The following is a 24,051-nucleotide window of genomic DNA, read 5'->3' on the forward strand; positions in this document are numbered from 1 at the left end:
TAAGCTGGGTGTGGTGGTGCACGTCTACAGTCCCAGCTACTTGGAGGTTGATGCAGGAGGATGACTTGAGCTCGGGAGTTTGAGGCTGCAGTCAATTATGATCATGCCATGGCACTCCAGCCTGGGCAAGAGTGAAACCCTGTCTCAAAAAAGTAAATAAATAAAGGAATCCTAGCTAATCAACTCAAAACTCGATAAGAAGCATTTAGGGAATAAATGTAATATTTGTATTACTGAATACAAACACAACTCAATTATAAAGACAGACAAAATTAACAGATGAACTGATAAGCTAGTCATATTCCCACCTAGTAATCATTTCAGAATAACTTTCAAATACATTTATGTTGTTTGTAAAGATTATGTCATAGAATTAAATCAATCAGGAGAATGCTATCAAGTTCTCAGAAAAGTGTAAGTATCTTTATTCTATCACAGAAGGGGTAGCGAGAAAAGTATATTTTAAGATATTTAGGGCCGGGTGCGGTGGCTCATGCCTGTAATCCCAGCAGTTTGGGAGCCAAGGCGGGCGGATCACCTGAGGTCAGGAGTTCGAGACAAGCCTGGCCAACATGGTGAAACCCCATCTCTACTAAAAATACAAAAATTAGCTGGGCATGGTGGCAGGCAGCTGTAATCCCAGCTACTTGGGAGGCTGAGGCAGGAGAATTGCTTGAACCCAGGAGGCAGAAGTTGCAGTGAGCCAAGATCGTACCATTGCATTCCAGCCTGGAGGACAAGAGTGAGACTTAGTTTCAGAAAAAAAAATAAAATAAAAAATATTATTTAGAACTAAGGTATTTAAAATTTAGATGATCATTAAAGTTTGTAGACACACAATACTGGGTATGTAGTGTCCTGTTATAAATCAAATTCTGAAAACAGTGATGGACTGAAAACAACAGAAAAACAAGGAATTAAAAAATACAGAATTAAGGAGAAAAGATCTATATTCTTAGGCAAGAGCTCTGTGTGTAAAAACCAATTAAAAATGAAAGTTGGTAAATTAGTTCTTTACCTTGTTCATCAAGAAGTTTCTTTGTAAGATCTTCAGCTTCATCTCCACCCTCTAATTCTAAGGTGTCATCATTAATTTCTAGATTCTCCAACTCAAGTTCCAAATCATCGGGACTTGATACCTCCTTATTCTCCTTAGATTCTTTTGCCTCTGTTGAAAAACAAACAAGTATACCTAAATTCAAAGTCATATGAAAATCCTGCTGCACAAAAGTAGATTAAGACTCACAAAATCTGCAGGTTCTTTTAGAAGCTGCATGTATACCTGGCAACTGAAGTTAATATATTTAGATTTTATAAAACACATTATGCTCGGCTGGGCATGATGGCTCACCCCTGTAATCCCAGCACTTTGGGAGGCCGAGGAGGGAGGATCACCTGAGGTCAGGAGTTTGAGACCAGCCTGACCAACATGGTGAAACCCCATCTCTACTAAAAATACAAAAATTAACTGGGCATGGTGGCACATGTCTGTAATCCCAGCTACTCAGGAGGCTGAGGCAGGAGAATTGCTTGAACCCAGGAGGTGGAGACTGCAGTGAGCCGAGAGAGCACCACTGCACTTGAGCCTGAGCAAAAAGGGCGAAACTAAGTCTCAAAAAAATATATACATTATGCTCATTGAGAACGAAGGCTATATCTTCTCTGATTATGTATACCATTTGTTAACTGAAGAGATGGATGGATGACTGGATGGAGAGAGATTGTGTGGATGAGGACTTACATGGCGTGAGGATCTATCTATGCTAAAGATGAGGGGGAAAAAAGGCTGATTAAAGTGGACTCACATTAAAAAGCGTCTCAAACTCCCAGATGAGGAGTTGAGACTTTCTCCTTTATGCAAGGGATAATATTTAAAAGGGATCTGATGTGAAAATTAACTTAGCAGCAATATATAAAATCAATTAGAAAGTCAGAAAAGGGTAGATGTAGAAAGACCAATTAGGAAAATATCCTTATCATTTCAATGTGAAGGGTTAGAGAAAACCAAAAAATGAAACACAACAAAGGAAAATGGCCAGTAACTGGTAAAAGGCAAAATTGGAAGAATAAAAAAGAAGAGAAACCAAACCTTAGCTAAATAAAACTGACAAAATATTAATAACTGAAGTTGAGTGATAGGTAAATCCAAGTTCACTATACCAGCCTTCTTTTGTGTTTTCGCAAATCAAATAAAATTCTCGTAAATAAAAAACAAAAGCCAATAAAACCTGAGTTCAGGAATGTATACTTAAATTGAAAGTATGGTATTTCTCAGCTTCATCTCTTATAGTCTCTAATCTCCTAATTTATGCATTGAACACAGAAATGTCTTACTGATACTTGATGTCATATCTTATTTGGGAGGATGAAAACTCTAACTAGTATGAATCAGTTTTGCTACCTCTAGATGAAAACAGACTTCTACTTTCTCATTCATTCATCTTTTCATTCTACTTTTATTGAATTCCTACTATGTGCTAGGTATTGTTCTAAGCACCAGGAATATACCTGTGAGTACAGCAGAGAAAAACTCCTGCCCACATGGAGCATGCAGTCACTCCCCAATGTCCCCTGATGTCTGGCTACTAAAACATCTACTAATCAGCTACATGTTCAGAATGACGCTAAGCTGTCAAACATTCTGAAAAAAGCTTAAAATGTGACCCTTGCTCTCAAAAAACATACAATTTATCTGAGGAAATTAAACTAATATGCATAAGGTAGTCAAATAGGGTATGGTGGGAGAGGGTTCCAACCAGAAAACAGAACAATGCAGGAAGGCAAGAAGGCAAGAAGATGGGCCCATTTCAGAGACTGAGAAGGATGGCAAATTAAGGGTAATAGAGTTGTAATGGCAAACCTGAGAGAAACTATGCAGGGTCCTAGAGACAATGTTAACAATTTTAAATTATATTCCAAGTACATGTAAAGTTATTCAAGGACATCAGGTAGGCAGGAGAGTAAAATTAACGTTTAGGAATGCATAGGCTGAGCGCGGTGGCTCACGCCTGTAATCCCAGCACTTTGGGAAGCTGAGGCAGGTGGATCACTTGAAGTCAGGAGTTCAAGACCAGCCTGACCAACATGGTGAAACCCCATCTCTACTAAAAATACAAAATTAGCCAGGCATGGCAGCACACTTCTGTAATCCCAGTTACTTGGGAGGCTAAAGCAGGAGAATCACTTGCACCTGGGAAGCGTAGGTTGCAGTGAGCTGAGACCACATGACTGCACTCCAGCCTGGACAAGAGCAAAAACTCCGCCTCAAAAAAAAAAAAAAAAAAAAAGAATGCATAGAAGGAAACAGCAAATACAGGGCAACCAGGTAGGAGGTATTACAGTAACCCGGGTGAGAGAGGATGGGAGTTAGATTAGAATAGCAGCAGCAAATGTAAGACAAACCTGAGAAACACAATGTAACCGGCATTCAGAAACTCCCACTCTATTAACGACCTAAAAGCTCTGACTTCTCTAAAGTCACTCTTCTTCTCAAAGAGTTGGTTCTATCTAGCCTAGAAAGGGCAGTACAGGTAATGAGCATCATAGAGCTAACACCTGCCCTAACAATCTGATACCTGGGGGAAATGTGCATCTTACCAAGACCTCACTTGAATTCACTACAAGACATTATAAACAAACACTTTCCAATTAATTCACATTAACTTAAATGTATCAGCACTGTTAAAAGTATGTCAATTATCATCCTTTAATGCTCCATCATTCCATATAATTCTGTCACTCATTTACTCTAATGACTCAATGTTCATATTACAAAACTAGTAACTACAATATATATATTTTTTTTTTACAAATACTATTTTGAAGCTAATTCTTATAGCACTTAATGTAAATATTTTTTCTCTAGAATTTACCTTTGGTATCATCTTTGTTGGACTCTTTATTCTGACAACTTTTTTCATTGTCTTTAAACAAGATGGCTGGGACAAAAGCCTTCAAATCAATGAGGTTCTCATAAAAATTCCGAGCATCTTCATCTTCCCATATACCACCTTCCAAGTCATATTCTCCAGGTTTACCAGGTGTGAATATATCAATTCCAGGCCCATGTTCTACAATAAAATAAATCACAAGTAATTAACATAACTTGAGGTTATAGCATGATAAACATGACATAAGTTATTTTTTCAGTTTTACATCTATTGAATCTTGAGTGTTTCAACTGACAGGAACTTCTTCAATTAACAAGCACATGTGACCGTTTTCAACACCAAATCACAAACTGTGTTTTAAATAAAGCCCTAAAATAAAACAGACTAGAGAACAACATAAAGATTTTTTTCTCTTACATTTGTTTTAAGCAATTAATATGAGATTAAGTAGCCATTTGATAAATTAGGTCTACTTTCATGAAACTTAAAATCAAAAAATAAAATATATAAGCCTGGCCACTCCTAAGACATCCGTTTAAAGTCCCACCTCCCCCATGAGTATTTTTTTTTTTTTTGGCAACTCATAATCCTCTATACTATTTACATCATACTTATATACCATTTATATCTCCAAAAACAGACCATAAACCTTTACTTAAGAAGCATCCCTCCTTTTGGCATAATCCTTGGCACATGGTAGATTGCCACTGTCAACCTAAAATAATCAAAAAGGTCAGAATCTAGTTTTAAAGAGAGTTTATTCAATTGCAAAGTTTGAGGACAGCCTCCCAGGAAGCAGAGATTCTAAAGAACAGAAGTCAGTGTTCCAAAGGGTAGAAGTTTGAGATTGTTTATACAGAGAAAGTTTAGGTAATTTCAACATCTTTCCTCATAAGGTTTAATGCACAGTTACAACAACCTGATTAGTAGAAGTCGTCTTTTTTGGGAAAGATACATACTGGTTATGTAGTTCAGTCTCCAAGGCTTAATTTCCCCCTTGCTATAATAAATTTAGAGGGTCCTGAAATTTTATTTTTTTTAAACAGAGTTTTACTCTGTCACCCAGGCTGGAGTACAATGGCGCAACATCAGCTCACTGCAACCTCCACCTCCCAGCTTCAAGTAATTCTCCTGCCTCAGCCTCCCAAGTAGCTGGGATTACAGGCGCCCGCCACCACACTTGGCTACTTTTTTGTTATTTTTAGTAGAGATGGGGTTTCGCCATGTTGGCCAGGTTGGTCTCAAACTCCTGACTTCAGGTGATCCACCTGCCTCAGCCTCCCAAAGTGCTGGGATTACAGGCGTGAGCCACCACGCCCAGCGTTTATTTATTATTTATTTTTTTGAATTGAGACAGGGTCTCACTCTGCTGCCAAGGCTGGCGTGCAGTGACATGATCATAGCTTACTGTAGCCTCGAAATCCTGGGCTCATGCAATCCTCCTGCCTCAACCTCCTGAGTAGCTGGGACTACAGGCATGCGTCATCAAGCCCAGCTAATTTTTCCATTTTTAGTAGAGATGGGGTTTCATTATGTTGCCTAGGCTGGTCTCAAACTCCTAAGTTCAGGGGATCCACCTGCCTCAGCCTCTCAAAGTGCTGGGATTACAGGCATGCGTGACCACGCTCAGCCTTTATTTTCTTTTATGCCATAAATGTCAGTCAATTGATAACTGGAAAAGAAGGGAAGAAAGATGAAGCGTACAGATCTCTTATTAGAGAATGGAAAGTATGTACCTATTTACACACATGCAGTACATACAACTATAGATCATAAACTCAGAACACTGAAAGTAATTAACTTCCTACTTTATGATTATGAGCCCATTCATGAACTTATCTACTCTCACATACTTCTCTCCAAATGAGAATTATAAATAGATTATGTAAATTAAAATTAACCGTAAGTTAGATTATTCATTAAATGTGATTTATGAAAATAAGAACACCAAAAACAAAAAAAACACTGGCTCCTCGAAACTCCTTACTTTCCTTACAGAAAATATATTTAAACACAGACTTATTAGGACACTAAACCCATACACCAAAAAGAAAAACACTGACATATTTACAACTTCTGTTTAATGAAAAGTATAAACAAAAGCAAAAAACAAACTGGAAGACAATATTGACAATATTTAAAGAATACATCCATAATATATAGAGCATAGTATAATGAATATATTTGGTGTTTGTCCTTGGTTCCTGGCAGACCTCCTAAAACCCTTAGAATTTCCTGAGTGAAAGGAATGTATTTTGTTATTCATAACAAGCTTTTTGATCCTACCTCAGCTGATGCTAATGAGGTGACTTAGGGTGGAGTCTCTGGATGGTCTCTACGATGGAGCCAAGTCACCAGAAAGACCGAGTGATTACAGGCTTAGAACTTTCAGCCCCACTCACCCACCCATCTGTGAAGCAGAGTCCTCGCCAGACACCAACTTGGCTGGCACCTTGATCTTAGACTTCCCAGACTCCAGACAGAGGAACAAGTTTCTGTTGTTCATAAGTTGCCCGGTCTAGGGTATTTTGTTACAGCAGCCTGAAAAGACTAAGACAACTATGTAATATTAATCAGGTGTTAAAAGGAATGAGATGTATCTACAAGAACTGACTCAGAAAGCTCTCAAAAATAATAATTGAAACAATAAAGGAAATCATGCAAAATATCTCACCTAAGTTAATGAAGCTAGAGATATCTGATTATATATATTTTCTGGAAAAAAGTAAAGTCTGGACACATTACTATCAAGCTGTTAAGAGTGGTTACCTTGGAGAATGTAATGCATCTGACAGTAAACTTTCACTTTTTAATCTATAATATGCATAAATATTTTGTGTATCTAAAAAATAATGTAAATCATAAAAAAGAAATTCAACTTTTGAGAGGTAAAAATACTACCAAATCAAAAGTAATAAAAAATAGGAATATCACAGGCACAGGACAAGAGAAAAACAGAGGAGTGATAGTTGCAATGCATATAAAAAATATAATTTCCGTCGGCCGGGCACAGTGGCTCACGCCTGTAATCCCAACACTTTGGGAGGCTGCGGCAGGTGGATAACGAGGTCAGGAGATCGAGACTATCCTAGCTAACACAGTGAAACCCCGTCTCTACTAAAAATACAAAAAAATTAGCCGGCCGTGGTGGCAGGCACCTGTAGTCCCAGCTACTCAGGAGACTGAGGCAGGAAAATGGTGTGAACCCGGGGAGCAGAGCTTGCAGTGAGCTGTGAACGCGCCACTGCACTCCAGCCTGGGCAACACAGCAAGGCGCCGTCTCAAAGTAATAATAATAATAATAATAATAATAATAATAATAATTTCCTTAATATACAAAGTGCTTTTTTTTTTTCTCTCTGACATGGAGTCTCGCTCTGTCACCCAGGCTGGAGTGCAATCTCAGCTCACTGCAACCTCTGCCTCCTGGGTTCAAGCAATTGTCTCACTTCAGTCTCCCAAGTAGCTGGGATTACAGGCGCACTCCACAATACCCAGCTAACTTTTGTATTTTTTGTAGGGATGGGGTTTCACCATGTTGGCCAGGCTGGTCTAGAACTCCTGACCTCAAGTGCTCCACTCACCTCAGCCTCCCAAGTGCTTTTATAAATCAATTTTTTAAAAAGATACAAGGGGAAAAAGGACAGGGGGTGGGGGTATAAAAGATTCAAATAGGAATTTCACAGGGAAAATAATACATTTATAAAACAGCCAATAAACTTAAAGATGCTAAAACCTGACTTCAAATTTAAAAATTAAGAACTGCAATGTGGTAAGAGTGTAAAGAAACAGTCATTCTCAGGCCAGGCGCAGTGGCTCATACCTGTAATCCTAGCACCTGGGGAGGCCGAGGTGGGCAGATCACGAGGTCAGGAGATTGAGACCATCCTGGCTAACATAGTGAAACCCTATCTCTACTAAAAATACAAAAAATTAGCCAGGCATGGTGACACATGCCTGTAGTCCCAGCTGCTCAGGAGGCTGAGGCAGGAGAATCGCTTGAACCCGGGAGGCGGAGCTTGCAGTGAGCTTAGATCGCACCACTGTACTCCAGCCTGGGTGACAGAGCAAGACACCACCTCAAAAAAAAAAAAAAAAAAAAAAGAAACATTCATTCTCATACACTTAGTGGCATGTAAATTTTTTTTTTTAAGTTCCAAGATACATGTGCAGAATGTGCAGGTGTGTTACATAGGTATACATGTTCCATGGTGGTTTGCTGCACTTACCAACCCGTCACCTAGGTTTTAAGTCCCGCATGCATTAGGTATTTGTCCTAATGCTCTCCCTCCCCTTACCCCCAACCTCCCAACAGGCCCCAGTGTGTGTTGTTCCCCTCCCTGTGTCCATGTGTTCTCACTGTTCAACTCCCACTTATGAGTGAGAACATGTGGTATTTGGTTTTTTTCCTATGTTAGTTTGCTGAGAATGATGGCTTCCAGCTTCATCCATGTCCCTGCAAAGGACATGAACTCACTCTTTTTTATGGCTGCATAGTATTCCATGGTGTATATGTACCACATTTTCTCTATCTAGTGTATTATTGATGGGCATTTGGGTTGCTGTAAATTTCTTTAATAGAAAATATGGCATCATATATTGAAACTTAAAATGCATATATCCTTTTAACCCAAGAATTCTACTTCTAGAAATGTATCCTGTAAATACTAGCATATATACAGAAAGAAGCAGGTTCAGAGATTTTGTTACAGCACTGACAATAATAGCTAAAAGCCAGAAATATTAAGTGTTAATCAACAGAGGACAAGTAAATTACAGAACAACCATACAAAAGGATATTACTATGTAGCAATTAAAAATAATTAGATGGCACTAATGTATTAAAATGAAAAAAATCTAAGACATGATTAACTGGAAAAAGTGGCTATAGAATAAAGGATATTCTGATCACTGGACAATGTAAGCCTCTTCTGCACAAGGTGAAGTACTATATCAGTGACCCAAAATAACTAAAGATTCAAGCAAACAATATTAAAACAATGATTTTCAAACACTGGACATCAGGCAGTATAGGAAAATAATCCCTGATAGGGAGCAGACGAAAAACTCAGCTCTACAATTGCCCCAGCTTACTTCATAAAGAGATTTTTCCAGGCTGTGGCCAAGTAAGAGAGAAGCCAGGCAGTCTCCCTGAGTTGAGGATGAGAGCTGAGGGTCTGGTAATACTCTACCCAAGGTAGGCAGAGTTCCCAGGACACAGTACCAGAGAGGAGAAACCAGCACAAAGATAAACTTCAAAACATTTGCAGAGTCTCCTTGAACATTCAGCTGAGTACTGATCAGCTCCTATGTATAAGGAAACAAAATGTTCACCTGAGTACTGATCAGCCTCTATGTGTGAGGAAACTAGGTGAGACTGGGAAAATAACTACTGAAAAGAATTAAGACTCACAGAGAGGCTCATGGGACCAGGAATAGTCTGTATACCCACAAGGCTGACTGGAAGAATCTTCTATGACTCTACTTTATCAGAAAAAGTCCAGAAAGATACTGCCTCAGTATTAGGAAAAATTAGCTTTAGATTAAAGGCTGCTCTGGTACCTCCTAACAAAGCATCCTTTCAAAGATGAAACTATTTCCAAGTAACTTAACTGCAACCCAGGATGACGCTTAATGATATTTATAAGAATACAAAAATATCCAGGACACATCCAATAAAACATAAGCGGGCAGCCAAAGAAGTAGAAAAATGACCAGACATGCAAAGGAGGTCAAGCAACTGCAATCAATTGAAACCAACTCGGAAATCACACAGATGACAAGATTTGTAGACAAGGACTTTAAAACAGTTATTGTAACTGTATTTCATATGTTCAACAAGCTACAAGATTGAACATGTCAGATACAAAGAAAATATGACAAGACATAGATATAAAAAATGACTTCTCTAAATGGAATTAAGTTATTAGACACCGTAGAAGAAAAGATTAGTGAACTTGAAGACATAACAACAGAAACTATCCAAAAGGAAAGGCAGGAAAAAATAACGAAGAACAAAAAGGAAAGGACATCAATGAACTGTGGGACAACTGAACAACCTAAAATACTTGTAATTGAGTCCCTATAGGAGAGGTGACGAAGAAGGAAAGAGAAAACACAATTGAAAAATAAAGGTCAAGATTTTCCTAATTTGATGATAACTATACACCCACAGATCTAAGAAGTTCAAGGAACCCGAAGTACAAGAAACGAAGAAAACCACACCAAGCTACACCATAACTAATGCTTGAAATCAGCGATAATGAAAAAATTTTAAAACAATGAGAGAAAAAAATATAGATTATATAAATAAGAACAAAGGTCAGAAAGGTAGGAGCATTCTTGATGGAACAATGCAAGCTAGAAGACAGAGGAGTAACATCTTTAAAGTACTGAAAGAAAAAAAAACTCTTGCCCTTAAGTTCTATGTCTGAAAAAAAAATTTTTTTTAAGAGATAGAGTCTCACTCTATCACCCAGGCTGGAGTGCCTGGTGTGATCATTATCTAACTGTAACCTTGAACATCTGGGCTCATGCAATCTTCCCACCTCAGCCTCCCAAGTAGCTAGGACTACAGGCTTGTGCCACATGACTGGCTAAATTTGTTTTATTTTTTAAAATTTTTTGTAGAGACAGGGTCTCGCTATGTTACCCAGGCTAGTCTCAAACTCGCCTCAAGCAATCCTCCTGCCTTGGCCTCCCAAAGCCCTGGTATTACAGGCATAAGCCATCATGCCGGGCCAAAAAGATCTTTTAAAAACAATGACAGGGCTGGGCACAGTGGCTCATGCCTGTAATCCCAGCACTTGGGGAGGGTGAGGCAGGCAGATCACTTGAGCTCAAAGTTCGAGACCAGCCTGACCAACATGGTGAAACCCCATCTCTACTAAAAATGCAAAAATTAGCTGGGCTTGGTGGCGCATATCTGTAGTCCCAGTTATTGCTTGGGAGGCTGAGGCACAAGAGTTGCTTAAACCTGGGATGCAGAGGTTGCAGTGAGCCGGGACTGCACCATCGCATTCCAGCCTGTCTCCAAAAATAAAAATAAAAACAATGACAGAATTTTTTCAAGGTCTATTAATTCTGGAAAATGTCTAAAAATACATTTAAAGTCATGACAGGGCGCAGTGGCTCACACCTGTAATCCCAGCACTTTGGGAGGCTGAGACGGACAGATCACCTGAGGTTGGGAGTTCGAGACCAGCCTGACCAACATGGAGAAACCCTGTCTCTACTAAAAATACAAAATTAGCCGGGTGTAGTGGCACATGCCTGTAATCCCAGCTACTCAGGAGGCTGAGGCAGGAGAATTGCTTGAACCTGGGAGGCAGAAGTTGCAGTGAGCCGAGATCGCGCCTTTGCACTCCAGCCTGGGCAGCAAGAGCGAAACTCTGTCTCAAAAATAATAATAATAATAATAAATTTAAAGTCATTTAAAATGAAAAGAAAAATTAGCTTAAATTTCAGTATGACAATTAGAGAAAAGGGGTAAAGAAACCACCTAAATCAATACCCAAGTATGCTAAATGTTTTTTTTTTTTGAGACGGAGTCTTGCCCAGGCTGGAGTGCAATGGCGCGAGCCTGGCTCTCTGTAACCTCCGCCTCCCAGGTTCAAGCCATTCTCCTGCCTCAGCCTCCTGAGTAGCTGGGATTACAGGCGCACACCACCATGCCCAGCTAGCTTTTGTATCTTTAGTAGAGACACGGTTTCACCATGTTGCGCCAAGCTGTTCTCGAACTCCTGACCTCATGATCCACCTGCCCTGGCCTCCCAAAGTGCTGGGATTAGAGGCGTGAGCCACCGCACCCAGCCATATGCTAAATATTATAAAGAGATTTTGGTTCTAAAATATCTTAACAAATATACTGAGAAAGTTCTGAGAAACAAGCCAGGGTCAACCAAAACACAAATTCTATGATGAAACTTTTTTAAAACATTTAAAAAGTTTGGCCAGGCACAGTGGCTCACGCCTGTTATCTCAGCACATTGGGAGGCCGAGGTGTACCTCGGCCCACAGCCAATTCTCAATCATGAGGTCAGGAGATCGAGATCATCCTGGCTAACATGGTGAAACCCCGTCTCTACTAAAAACACAAAAACTTAGGTGGGCGTGGTGGTGGGTGCCTGTAGTCCCAGCTATTCGGGAGGCTGAGGCAGAAGAATGGCCTGAACCTGGGAGGCGGAGCTTGCAGTGAGCAGAGACCGCACCACTGCATTCCAGCCTGGGCAACAGAGCAAGACTCCGCCAAAAAAAAAAAAAAAAACATTTAAAAAGTTTGAGAATGAGCTTTGAGATATTGAATAAGAGCCTGGGTGCAGTGGCTCACACCTATAATCTCAGCACTTTGGGAGGCCAAGGCAGGAGGACTGCTTGAGCTAAGGAGTTTGAGACCAGCCTGAGAAACATGGTAAAACCTTGCCTCTAATTAGCCAGACATGGTGGTGCACACCTGCAGTCCCAGCTACTTGGGAGACTGACGCAGGAGACTCATTTGAGCCCAAGAGGCAGAGGCTGCAGTGAGCCGAGATTGTGCCACTGCACTCCAGCCTGAGCGACAGAGCAAGACTCTGTCTCAAAAAAAAAAAAGTGTAAGAATTATGTACATTATTATATATAAATACAATAAATGCATTCACAGTATACAATAGGTATTTCTTACTGAGGATATTAAATATAAATTTTTCTTTAATTATAGAAGGATATTTTACAAATACTTCACCCCTAAAATTTTTTTTTTTTTTTTTGAGACAGGGTCTCACTCTGTCATCCAGGCTGGAGTGCAGTGGCACAATCTCGGCTCACTGCAACTTCTGCCTGCCAGGTTCACGCAATTCTCCTGCCTCAGCCTCCCAAGTAGCTGGGACTACAGGCACGTGCCACCACACCCAGCTAATTTTTGTATTTTTAGTAGAGATGGCGTTTCAATGTTGGTCAGGCTGGTCTTGAACTCCTGACCTTGTGATCCTCCCGCCTCGGCCTCCCAAAGTGCTAGGATTACAGGCATGAGCCACTGCGCCCGGCCACCCTTAAGATTTCTAAGTAAACAGAATTGCCAGGAAATTCAAAGATATCTATCTATTACACAAGAACCTGAATGAACTCATCATATTATCATGAGTTATTATTTTCTAGGTCCAGAGACTCTTCCATTCAGGGATCATTTCAAATAGCTTTTCAAGGTTATCAATAGGTTTTAATACCATTTCTTTATTTAAGAAAAGTTTTTTTTAATAGAGATGGGGTCTCACTATGTTGCCCAGGCTGCTATCAAACTCCTGGTCTCAAGCGATCCTCTTACCTTGGATTCCCAAAGTGTTGAGGTTACAGGCATGAGCCACCATGCTTGGCCCATTTTGAAAATGTTGACGCCATTTTAAAAACTTAAATTCTCAATACTGCACATCTGATAAGCCTAAAGGTAAGTGACAGTGCTTACAGAAAACACAATGTTTGTTTTTAAGGATATCTCTTACCTTCTGGTGTTGGTTTGTCTTGAGGAAGATCTGGCATATTTTCATCCAAAAGGTCTGCTAAGGATTGAGAATTTGCCAGCAGCTTCTGGTAAGACATAGCAAATTCCTCATACTGTTTATGTCTATCTTCACTGAGCTCCCCTTTAGAATGTAGAATGCGCCTATAAACAAATGAAATCATCTGACAGTCTTATCAAAATAGATGTGATCACAAATTGTTATATATGGGAAACATTCCATAATTTGATTTTCTCATACAAATTTAGTAAAATCTTCATTTTTATTTAACATTTGAATCTAGTATTTTCAAAATGTATCTGAAATGTATAATGAAATTCACCTGAACATTTAAATTTTAACACTGGTTCCTCAAAGAATATGCAGCATGCTTGCTGAAATACAATATTTAACAATATACATCTAAATAATTTTAAATTATTCAGTATTTTATTACAGTCACACTCTTCTCAGATATAGAGTTAACCAAAACTAGCACAACTACACAAGCCAATTTTCAAAAGAAACAGGTTATACAAAGAATCAATTATTCTTAAACCTCCATGATTTGAATCAGAAATATCATATTTAACAATATATCACAAAATAATCAAAAATTATTTGGTTTTTTATTACTGTCATACTCCCCTCAGACATACAGAACTAACCAAAAATATTTAACACAACTACACAACTCAGTTTTCAAAACCAACAGATTTTGAATAGGTTCAAAAGAAACAGAATCAGTTATCCTTAAACTTCCATAATGATTTGAATCAAGATTATCTTTTGAAAAAGCCCACAATCTTCCACACAGCCAATTCTCAATCTACTGTGCAAGTACTGGTTATTTATCCAGGTAACAAATACTGAGAAGTCCACTCACTCAGGCCAGCCCTTATCAAGGAACTAAGGACATAACCACTCTTCCACTTTGCAAGAATACACCAATAAGCCCCTAACTACAAATGCAAAACTACTGAAAACACCAAAATGTATAGAGTAAAAGTCTTATTATATTCGTATAAATCACTGAGAATTATATAGCTGGATCCAATTTTTTACATACAAAATATCCATGTGGTACTATAATATTTGAAATTTATAAACCATAATGCAAATACATTGTTTCAAAAAGTCAATTATAAATTATAAAAGTTATTTTTACAAGTAATACTTAGAAGTTTTTTATTTCTTGTTATTTGCGTTTTCTTACAAACAGTGAAGAAAACGAGGTTTTCTGTAATGCCATCTTCCATCTTCTAAAAGTTACAGAGAAAAAGGCAGAAAAATAATGCCTATACTTATTCTTCCCAGATTATTTGAAACAATGTCAAAACTTTCCCATTTTACCCTATTTCTACTCACATAAGCTTTTGTTTCAGTACTATAACAATTCGGCCAGGCATGGTGACTCACGCCTATAATCCCAGCACTCTGGGAGGACGAGGCAGGCGGATCACCTGAGGTCAGGAGTTTGAGACCAGCCTGGTCAACATGGCAAAACCTCGTCTCTACTAAAAATACAAAAGTTAGCCAGGTGCAGTGGCGGGCACCTGTAATCCCAGTTACTCAGGAGGCCGAGGCAGAAGAATCGCTTGAACCTGGGAGGCGGAGGTTGCAGTGAGCCGAGATCGTGCCACTGCACTCCAGCCTGGGTGACAGAGTCAGACTCTTGTCTCATAAATAAATAAATAAATAAATACTATAACAATTCAAGTAACAATATTTTCAATTTTCCGAATATTAGTTCCCATTACAAGTGCATCAGTGCATAGATTCATGAAATCCAGTTATTTCCTCTTTTCAAATCTGGTCTATTAGGGTCTAAAATGAGAAATTTCATTTTCTTATTATTTAAATATATATTAGATATCATTCTACCAACACATTAGTAAAATGTTGAAATAGTTTAACCATAATAAGCCAGGCTAAAAAGTGCTTCTCTAAAAATATTGTCATTAGAGAGCATGTTTCCCCCTCTTCAAACATGTGTTTCAGACTACTGTTACAAACACAAACAAAATTTTTTCAGTAATTTTGTGAATGAATTTTAAAAATTAAAACAAAAACCCATAGCATTTTAACATACTCATACCTATGAAAGACACAACATTAGCACTCTGAGCTTGTTAAAACTTTTAATCAGAAGTTCTAATAGAACTCATTTTGGAAGTGAAAAGTCATTTAAAAAAAATTTTTTTTAATTTACTTTTATTTTTTGTAGAGACGGGAGTCTGGCTATGTTGGCCAAGCTGGTCTCAAACTCCTGGCCTCAAGCAATCCTCCCACCTCAAACTCCCAAAATGTTGGGATTACAGGTGTGAGCCACCACACTCGGCCAAAATTAAATAAAATACTCGAATAAGTAATGCTCAGAAGTAGGTTACTTAGGCTGGGCGCGGTGGCTCACGCCTGTAATCCCAGAACTTTGGAAGGCCGAGGTGGGAGGATCACAAGGTCAGGAGTTTGAGACCAGCCTGGCCAATATGGTGAAACTCTGTCTCTACTAAAAATACAAAAATTAGCCGGGTGTGGTGGTAGGTGCCTGTAATCCCAGCTACTTGGGAGGCTAAGCCAGGAGAATCACTTGAACCCGGGAGGCAGAGGTTGCAGTGAGCCAAGATTGCACCACTGTACTCCAGCCTGGGCGACAGAGCAAGACTGTCTAAAAAAAAAAAGAAAAAGAAGTAAGTTACTTAAAAATATCTGCAATGTAGGGCCGGGCACGGTGGTTCACGCCTATAATCCCAGCACTTTGGGAGGCCGAGGCAGGCGGATCACCTGAGGTGAGGAGTTCAAGATCAGCCTGGCCCATGGTGAAAACTCGTCTCTACAAAAACATAAAAATTAGCCGGGCACGATGGTGGGTGCCTGTAATCCTAGCTCCTTGGGAGGCTGAGGCAGGAGAATCATTTGAACTCGGAAGGCAGAGGTTGCAGTGAGCTGAGATTGCACCATTGCACTCCAGCCTGAGCAACAGAGCGAGACTCCATCTCGGAAAAAAAAAAAAAAAAATCTTCAATGTATTAAGAAAAATGTTAACAGGTAAAAATTGAAGAGTTTATTCCATGGCACTTTAGTCTGAAAAAAAATTAAAGAACAAAAACCGAAGAGTTTATTCTGAAGCAAATTATATTAAAGGGATAATACTGGTTCTAAGAGATTTCAAAACCCCTAATGACAATTACTATGCAACATTATTTCATACTTGAAAAGAAATCGGAAAATATATCTCAGAATAACATAACCCAAAACTTTAATTCTCTTAACAAGTTCTGACATTTTGGTCATCCAAAGAACAAACATCCAGTCCATTGAGATACATAATAATCACACTAAGGATTTCTAACATATAAGCAGTAGCAAGGTGATGACTACCTTATGAAAACAAAAATGAACAGTCCTTTTCCTCACTTTCACGTGTGGATTTGCCTGTGACTTTGCGCTGAGTCCATTAAAAGTGATTTCATTCTATGATGGTTCCCTGAGTCTGCTTTCCAGTTCCTCTCCAGTACTGCTGGAACCAACTAAAACTTTAAAGCTTCACTGATACTCCTTACCCTCCCCTTAATTCCATGATCAAATGCATTAACAGCACTAACTTACCTAACTAATGAGTGTGTACTTAAGTTACTATTCAGTGAGAATAGTCCTCAAGAAAAGTTTAGATTTGGGGTTTTGTTTGTTCGTTTTATAGCTCCATAAGCCTTTTACTCCCATTTTTTTATTATTATTATACTTTAAGTTCTGGGATACATGTGCAAAACGTGCAGGTTTGTTACATAGGTATACACGTGCCATGGTGGTTTGCTGCACCCATCAACCTGTCATCTACGTTAGGTATTTCTCCTAATGTTATCCCTCCCCTGGCCCTCCAACCCCCAGATTTTTTCTTTTGTTTTGTTTTGTTTTTAATGATGTCTTACACCGAGCACTTGGTTAGCAGGACAGAATGCCAATTAATACAGTATGACTTCTGTTATATATAAAACTGACATATGTAGCCATATATCCTTTCTTTGACATCTAAGTAATACACATTTACTGAACTGACTAAATCCACAGCATGCAGTAAGACAATATACAGACAAAGCAGAGAAATAACTCATTATAGTGCCTGAACATTTAAAAACCTAAGGATCGGCCAGGCACAGCGGCTAACGCCTGTAATCCTAGCACTTTGGGAGGCCAAGGAGGGCCGATTGCTTGAGCCAACAAGTCCGAGACCAACCTGGGCAGCATGGTGAAACTCCATCTTTACAAAAAATACAAAAATTGGCCAGGTGCTATGGCTCACACCTGTAATCCCAACACTTTGGGAGGCTGAGGCGGGTGGACCACAAAGTCAGGAGTTCAAGATCACCCTGACCAACACGGTGAAACTCCATCTCTGCTAAAAATACAAAAATTAGCCAGGCATGGTGGCATGCACCTGTAATCCCAGCTACTCAGGAGGCTGAGGTAGGAGAATCACTTGAATCCGGGAGGCAAAGGTTGCAGTGAGCCAAGACCGCACCACTGCACTCTAGCCTGGGGGACAGAGCAAGACTCCATCTCAAAAACAAAAAAAAAACAAAAATTAGTTGGATGCGGTGGTGGGCACCTACAGTCCTAGCTACTCAGGAGGTTGAGGTGGGAGGATCACCTGAACCCAGGAGGTCGAGGCTGCAGTAAGCCGTGACCGTGCCACTGTGCTGCAGCCTGGGTGACAGAGTGAGACCCTGCCTCAAAAAATAAATGAATAAATAAATAAACCCAAGGATCCTTTAGAAATTCTAATGAAATTAAACATGTTTAAATGTAGGTACTAAAAATGTCAGGGTATTTTTTGTAACTTTATGCAACTCACAGGAAAAGGTTTTCAGTTTAATTGTTTTTGAAAACCCACTTGAGGGAACTAAATATTACACAACACATCTGACCAACAAGTATCTCTGCTTTACATCAATGTTATCAAAAAATATGACCAAAATTTCTCATGTGAATTCCATGGGAATGTATCACTGAAAATATAACCAAAATCAAGCTGAAAATATGATTTCATCACATATTTTAATTATTGCCTTTTTAGAAATACATCAATTACATAAAGCTGAATTTAAGCCATTCTTTTGAGAATGTCATAAAGTAGAGGTCAGCAAACTTTTTCTGTAAAGGGCCATACAATACATATTTCAGTCTCTGCAGACCATTTGGTCTTTGCTGAAACTACTCAACTCTGCTAACATAACACAAAAGCTGCCACAGACAATATGTAAACAAATGAGGGTGACTGTAATAAAATGTTATTTATGAACACTGAAATTTGAACTTCAAATCATTTTCATGCTTCCCAAAACATTCTACTTTTGACTATTTTTCAACCATTTAAAAAAGTAAAAACCATTCTTAGGTGACAGGCTGTAGAAAAACTAGTCATAGGCTTAATCTGGCCCACAAGCCATAGTTCGCCAATGCCTGTCACACTACTACATGTCTTATAAATTAGTACATTCTCTCCTGCAATATCATTGCACACTAGAGAGGTACTTGTCCCCTTTTACAGATATAAACAGTAAGTAATGAGAACAAAATCTATGCCAACTCTTATGCTTTGTTATAAAAATAAAAAAAAATTGCCTTCCTTTCGGCAACATACGTGAGACATCACTGTCCAGAAGAATCTCTAAAGTACGTCAGTCCTTGATTTTATGGAGTGTTTTTTTTTGTTTTGTTTTTGAGATGGATTCTCGCTCTGCTGCCCAGGCTGGAGTGTAGTGGTGCAATCTGAGCTCACTGCAACCTCCGCCTCCTAGGTTCAAGCAATTCTCCCTGCCTCAGCCTCCCACATAGCTGGGATTACAGGAGCCTGCCACCACACCCGGCTAATTTTTGTATTTTTAGTAGAGACGGGGTTTTGCCACGTTGGCCAGGCTGGCCTCAGGCTCCTGATGTCAGGTGATCTGCCCACCTCAGCCTCCCAAACCGCTGGGATTACAGGCATGAGCCACCACGCCCAGTTGAATGTTTTTTATATTACTAATTTAATATTATAAAACCAACCAAAAAAGCCAGTCAATTTTTGAGTCAAGCATTATACATCATAAATAAAATTCATTAATGCCTAAAAAATTCTAATATTAAGAGAACTTTTTTCTTCTTTTCCATTTTTTCATTTTTATTGACTTTTTTATATTTCCTTCATTTTATTAATTTTTGCTTTGTATTATCCTAAAAAATAAATTTTATTTTTTTTTTAATTTTTTTGAGACGGAGTTTCGCTCTGTCACCCAGGCTGGAGTGCAATGGCGCAATCTCGGCTCACCGCAACCTCTGCCTCCCGGGTTCAAGCCATTCTCCTGCCTCAGCCTCCTGAGTAGCTGGGATTACAGGCATGCGCCACTACGCCCGGCTAATTTTGTATTTTTAGTAGAGACAGCGTTTCTCCATATTGGTCAGGCTGGTCTCGAATTCCCAACCTCAGGTGATCCGCCAGCCTCAGCCAAGCTACTAAAGTTTAAGAAGTTTAACATAAAAATTTATAAAATCATAAAAAGACAGAAAGAGAAATTCTCATTCAAATGTCTTTCAGAAAGGTCAGGCAGGCAATCTATTAATAAAAGCTAACTAACATTTACTAAATACTTACAATGTGCCAGACACTGTTATTAAGTGCTTTTACACATATGAATTCACTATATGATTCACATTTACCTCAGAGTTACAGAACTATTGTTATGCCCATTTTACAGATGGGAAAACTGAAGCACAGAGATGCCAGGTAACTTGCCCAAGATTGCAGAATGTGCAAATGACAGTGCTCTAGCTCCAGAGTCCACGCTCTGAAATATTGGACTATGCTGCCTTTCAAATTATAATTATCCACTTTGTATGTTACAGTGAAGTTAAAATGTCTCTCAAACACGTCCATGAAGGCAAGCCTTCACCACAGAACTGTTTATTTTATTTCCTCTTTTGGGTCCCTCTCTCGTTTGGATTTGACTTGGTAAATATTGAGCGGCTAACATGTATACTATACACTTCAAAAACAAGTGCTAAATGTAAATATGGGTGGATATTACATAATTGTGAAAAGTACAGTATGAAGAAGAAGAAAAGAACCTGACTCTATCACTCACTTTCCATGTTATATTGGGCAAGCCCTTTAATCCCTTTGTTTTACCATCTTCAAAATATAGGCATTTATATAATATAGGTACTGTTAGGATCAATTAAGATCATATAGGCCAGATGTGGTGGCTCATGCCTGTAATCTCAGCACTTTGGGAGGCCAAAGTGGGAGGATCACTTGAGCCCAAGATATCAAGACCAGCCTGGCCAACATAATGAAACCAAGTCTCTACAAAAAAAAAAAAATTTTTTTAAATTAGCCAGGTGTGGTGGTGCATACCTGTGGTCTCAGCGACTTGGGAGGCTGAGGTGGGAGATAGCGAGGCTGCAGTGAGCTATGACTGCACCATGACACTCCAGCCTGGGTGACAGGGAAAGACCCTGTCTCAAAAAAAAGGATCATATGTGGGATTTATTATGTTAATGTAAAATGATATTTTCATGAGAAAAAAAGTGCCAAAGCCTAACATAGGAAAGGCAAGAATTTCAATGCCAAATTCTATTAATCATTAGCCAAATTAAAAAGGAAAATAGTCTTGACAAACATACAGAACATTCATTTTAACTTTGCCCTTGTGCAGTCATACAAAATTATATATAACACATGGACAAAATCTTTAAAAGAATGATCATGAAGAAGACCCCAGAAAAACTGCTGGGTTTTATATCTCCTCCAGCATTCTGTCCAATTTTAATAAAAATTGGCCTCAGAATTATCTTAGATTTTCTTGGCTGGATGCAGTGGCTCACGTCTGTAATCTCAGCACTTTGGGAGGGCAAGGCGGGCGGATCACTTGAGGTCAGGAAACCAGCCTGGCCAACATGGTGAAACCCTGTCTCTGCTAAAAATACAAAAATTAGTCGAGTGTGGTGGCAGGTGCATGTAGTCCCAGCTACTCAGGAGGCTGAGGCAGGAGAATCGCTTGAACCTAGGAGGTGGAAGTTGCAGTGAGCCAGGATCGCGCCACTGCACTCCAGCCTGGGTGACAGAGCGAGACTCCAGCACAGTGGCTCACTCCTGTAATCCTACCACTTTGGGAGGCCGAGGAGGGCAGATTGTGTGAGCTCAGGAGTTCGAGACCAGCCTGGGCAACATGGTGAAACCCTGTCTCTTCTAAAACACAAAAAATTAGCCAGGCGTGGCGGCATGTGCCTGTGGTCCCAGCGACTTGGGAGGCTGAGGCAGGAGAATTGCTTGAACCTGGGAGGCGGAGGTTGCAGAGAGCTGAGATCATGCCACTGCACTCCAGCCTGGAAACAGAGGGAGACTCCGTCTCAAAAAAAAAAAAAAGAAAAAAATTATCTTAGATTTTCTTTTGGTTTCATTTTAGAATTATTTATGGATATCTCATAATCTTGTAAAAAGACTCTAGAACATAGCAAAGCAAAACTGTACCCATTAAAATGGGTACTACTACTACAGCAAAGTCATTTAAACACAATTAGAATATCTAGGACATAATTTTAGAGCTCTTAGAACATTACAGCTATAACACTAAATCTAAAGTACAGAGAAGTAACATCTTAATTGTGCTTAAATACTACCAATTAATTAATTGGTATTAACTACCAATTAAACAACCTACCTGTGAAGCAAGGTACAACTCACCTGGAAGGAAAGTGAAAGTAAAAGCAGTACCATTTCATTATTGGCTGATGTGTTTTTAAGTTTCAATATCAGTCAATAATGCCTCAAGAATTAGCATTCATAAAAGAAACCTCTGACTTTTTTTTTAACAATGGGCAGACGAAAAAGTCTGCATTCTACTTAAATTTTTTTTCCTGAACTTTGTCAACTCACTGCTGTTAGACTAAGCCTGCAATCATGAGGGTACTAAGTCAGGGGTGCTGAAGAGAAACTTGTTACCACTTCCACCAATTAGGGAGAAAAAAAGGAATAAAGATATTTTGAGATTACTCAAACAAGAATTCTAGCCTACTACCTGAATTCATGATTTCACTATACTGAAAGAAACAAATTCTGTAACATAATTGAGTTATAGCCATGAAAATGAAATCATTTCTTCATCCAATTAAATGCCCAAAATATACTAATAGGACCTCTATAATATTTCAAAGTACAAAGCATTTCAAAGCATATAAAGAGCACTTAACATTATAAAAGGCAAAACTCACTGAGAAAGTAAGGCTATTAATTCCAAATAGGCAAATACTACTGGATGACATTTTTAAATTTATAATAATTATAACTCACCAGGTCAATCACTTAACCAAAATGTATAACAAAAAATAATATTCGGCTGGGCATGGTGGATCACACCTGTAATCCTAGCACTTTGGGAGGCCGAGGCGGGAAGATCATGAGGTCAAGAGATCGAGACCATCCTGGCCAACATGGTGAAACCCTGTCTCTACTAAAAAAAAAAAAAAAAATAGAGAATTAAAATTAGCCAGGCGTGGTGGTGCATGCCTGTAATCCCAGTTACTCGGGAGGCTGAGGCAAGGGAATCGGTTGAACCCAGGAGGTGGAGGTTGTGATAAGCTGAGACCATGCCACTGCACTCCAGCCTGGGGGACAGAGCGAGACTCCATCTAAAAAAAAAAAAAAGATATTGGCCAAGCACAGAGGCTCATGCCTGTAATCCCAGCACTGTGGGAGGCTCAGGCAGGCAGGTGGCTTGAGCTCAGGAGTTTGGGACCATCCTGGGCAACATGGAGAAATCCTGTCTCCACCAAAAATACAAAAAATTAGACAAGTGTGGTGGCACGTGCCTATGGTCCCAGCTACTCAGGAGGTTGATGGAGGACTGCTTGAGCTGGGAGGTGGAGGCTGCAGTGAGCACTTCAGCCTGCCACTGCACTCCAGCCTGGGTGACAGAGTGAGACCTTGTCTCAAAAAAACAAAATAAAATAATAAAAGATATTGAATAAAATGCTTAAAGAAATTTAACTAGGTAGGAATCTTAAATATCAGCTAGCTTAGTTTTCTTGCTTTATCACACCTCAGGGAAACCTTACTGGAAGAACTATTGCCCATTATTTAGTCCTATGATGTAGAAAAACCTCAAAACACCTACTAGATGAGAGGTGCAGTGGCTCACACTTGTAAACCCAGAAGTTTGGGAGGCCATGGCAGGAGGATTGCTTGAACCCAGGAGTTCGAGGCCAGCCTGGACAACAGTGTGAGACCATATCTCTATGTTTACAAAAATTCTTTTAAAGTTTGGGATGGGGGGTGGGCACAGTGGCTGACGCCTATAATCCCAGCACTTTGGGAGACCAAGGCAGGCAGATCATCTGAGGTCAGGAGTTCGAGACGAGCCTGGGCAACATGGCGAAACCCCGTCTCTACTAAAAATACAAAAATTAGCTGGGTGTGGTGGCATGTGCCTATAGTCCCAGCTACTCAGGAGGCTGAGGTAGGAGAATTGCTTGAACCCAGGAGGCGGAGGTTGCAGCGAGCCAAGATCACGCCACTGTACTCCAGCCTGGGCAACACAGGGAAACCCCGTCTCGAAAAATTAATTAATTTATTTATTAATTAAAGGTGGGGTGGCACCGAGCACAGTGGCTCACACCTATAATCCCAACACTTTGGGAGGCCAAGGCAGGAG

At 39.5% G+C, this 24,051-nt stretch overlaps 1 protein-coding gene across 5 annotated transcripts in view, besides 1 other annotated feature; it reads right to left on the reverse strand.

Annotated features, from left to right (window-relative positions):
* Window positions 1-24,051, reverse strand: part of UPF2 (UPF2 regulator of nonsense mediated mRNA decay) — a 123,149-nt gene that overhangs the window by 80,636 nt on the left and 18,462 nt on the right. For all 5 annotated transcript variants that reach the window (NM_080599.3, NM_015542.4, XM_047424986.1 and 2 more), the window contains exons 4-6: window positions 13,367-13,527; window positions 3,873-4,070; window positions 1,019-1,168 (exon numbers count right to left, since the gene is read on the reverse strand). In NM_080599.3, the coding sequence (NP_542166.1) occupies window positions 1,019-1,168; window positions 3,873-4,070; window positions 13,367-13,527 (509 nt within the window). The remainder of the gene's footprint in view (window positions 1-1,018; window positions 1,169-3,872; window positions 4,071-13,366; window positions 13,528-24,051) is intronic.
* Window positions 21,446-21,505: a silencer, noted in NCBI's record as "silent region_2133". NCBI's record gives its function as "represses an Ori minimal core promoter by ATAC-STARR-seq in GM12878 lymphoblastoid cells {active_cell/tissue: GM12878}" and the evidence as "EXISTENCE:reporter gene assay evidence [ECO:0000049][PMID:35858748]".

Source organism: Homo sapiens, chromosome 10 (assembly GCF_000001405.40).
Source record: "Homo sapiens chromosome 10, GRCh38.p14 Primary Assembly".
Classification (NCBI taxonomy): Eukaryota; Metazoa; Chordata; class Mammalia; order Primates; family Hominidae; genus Homo; species Homo sapiens.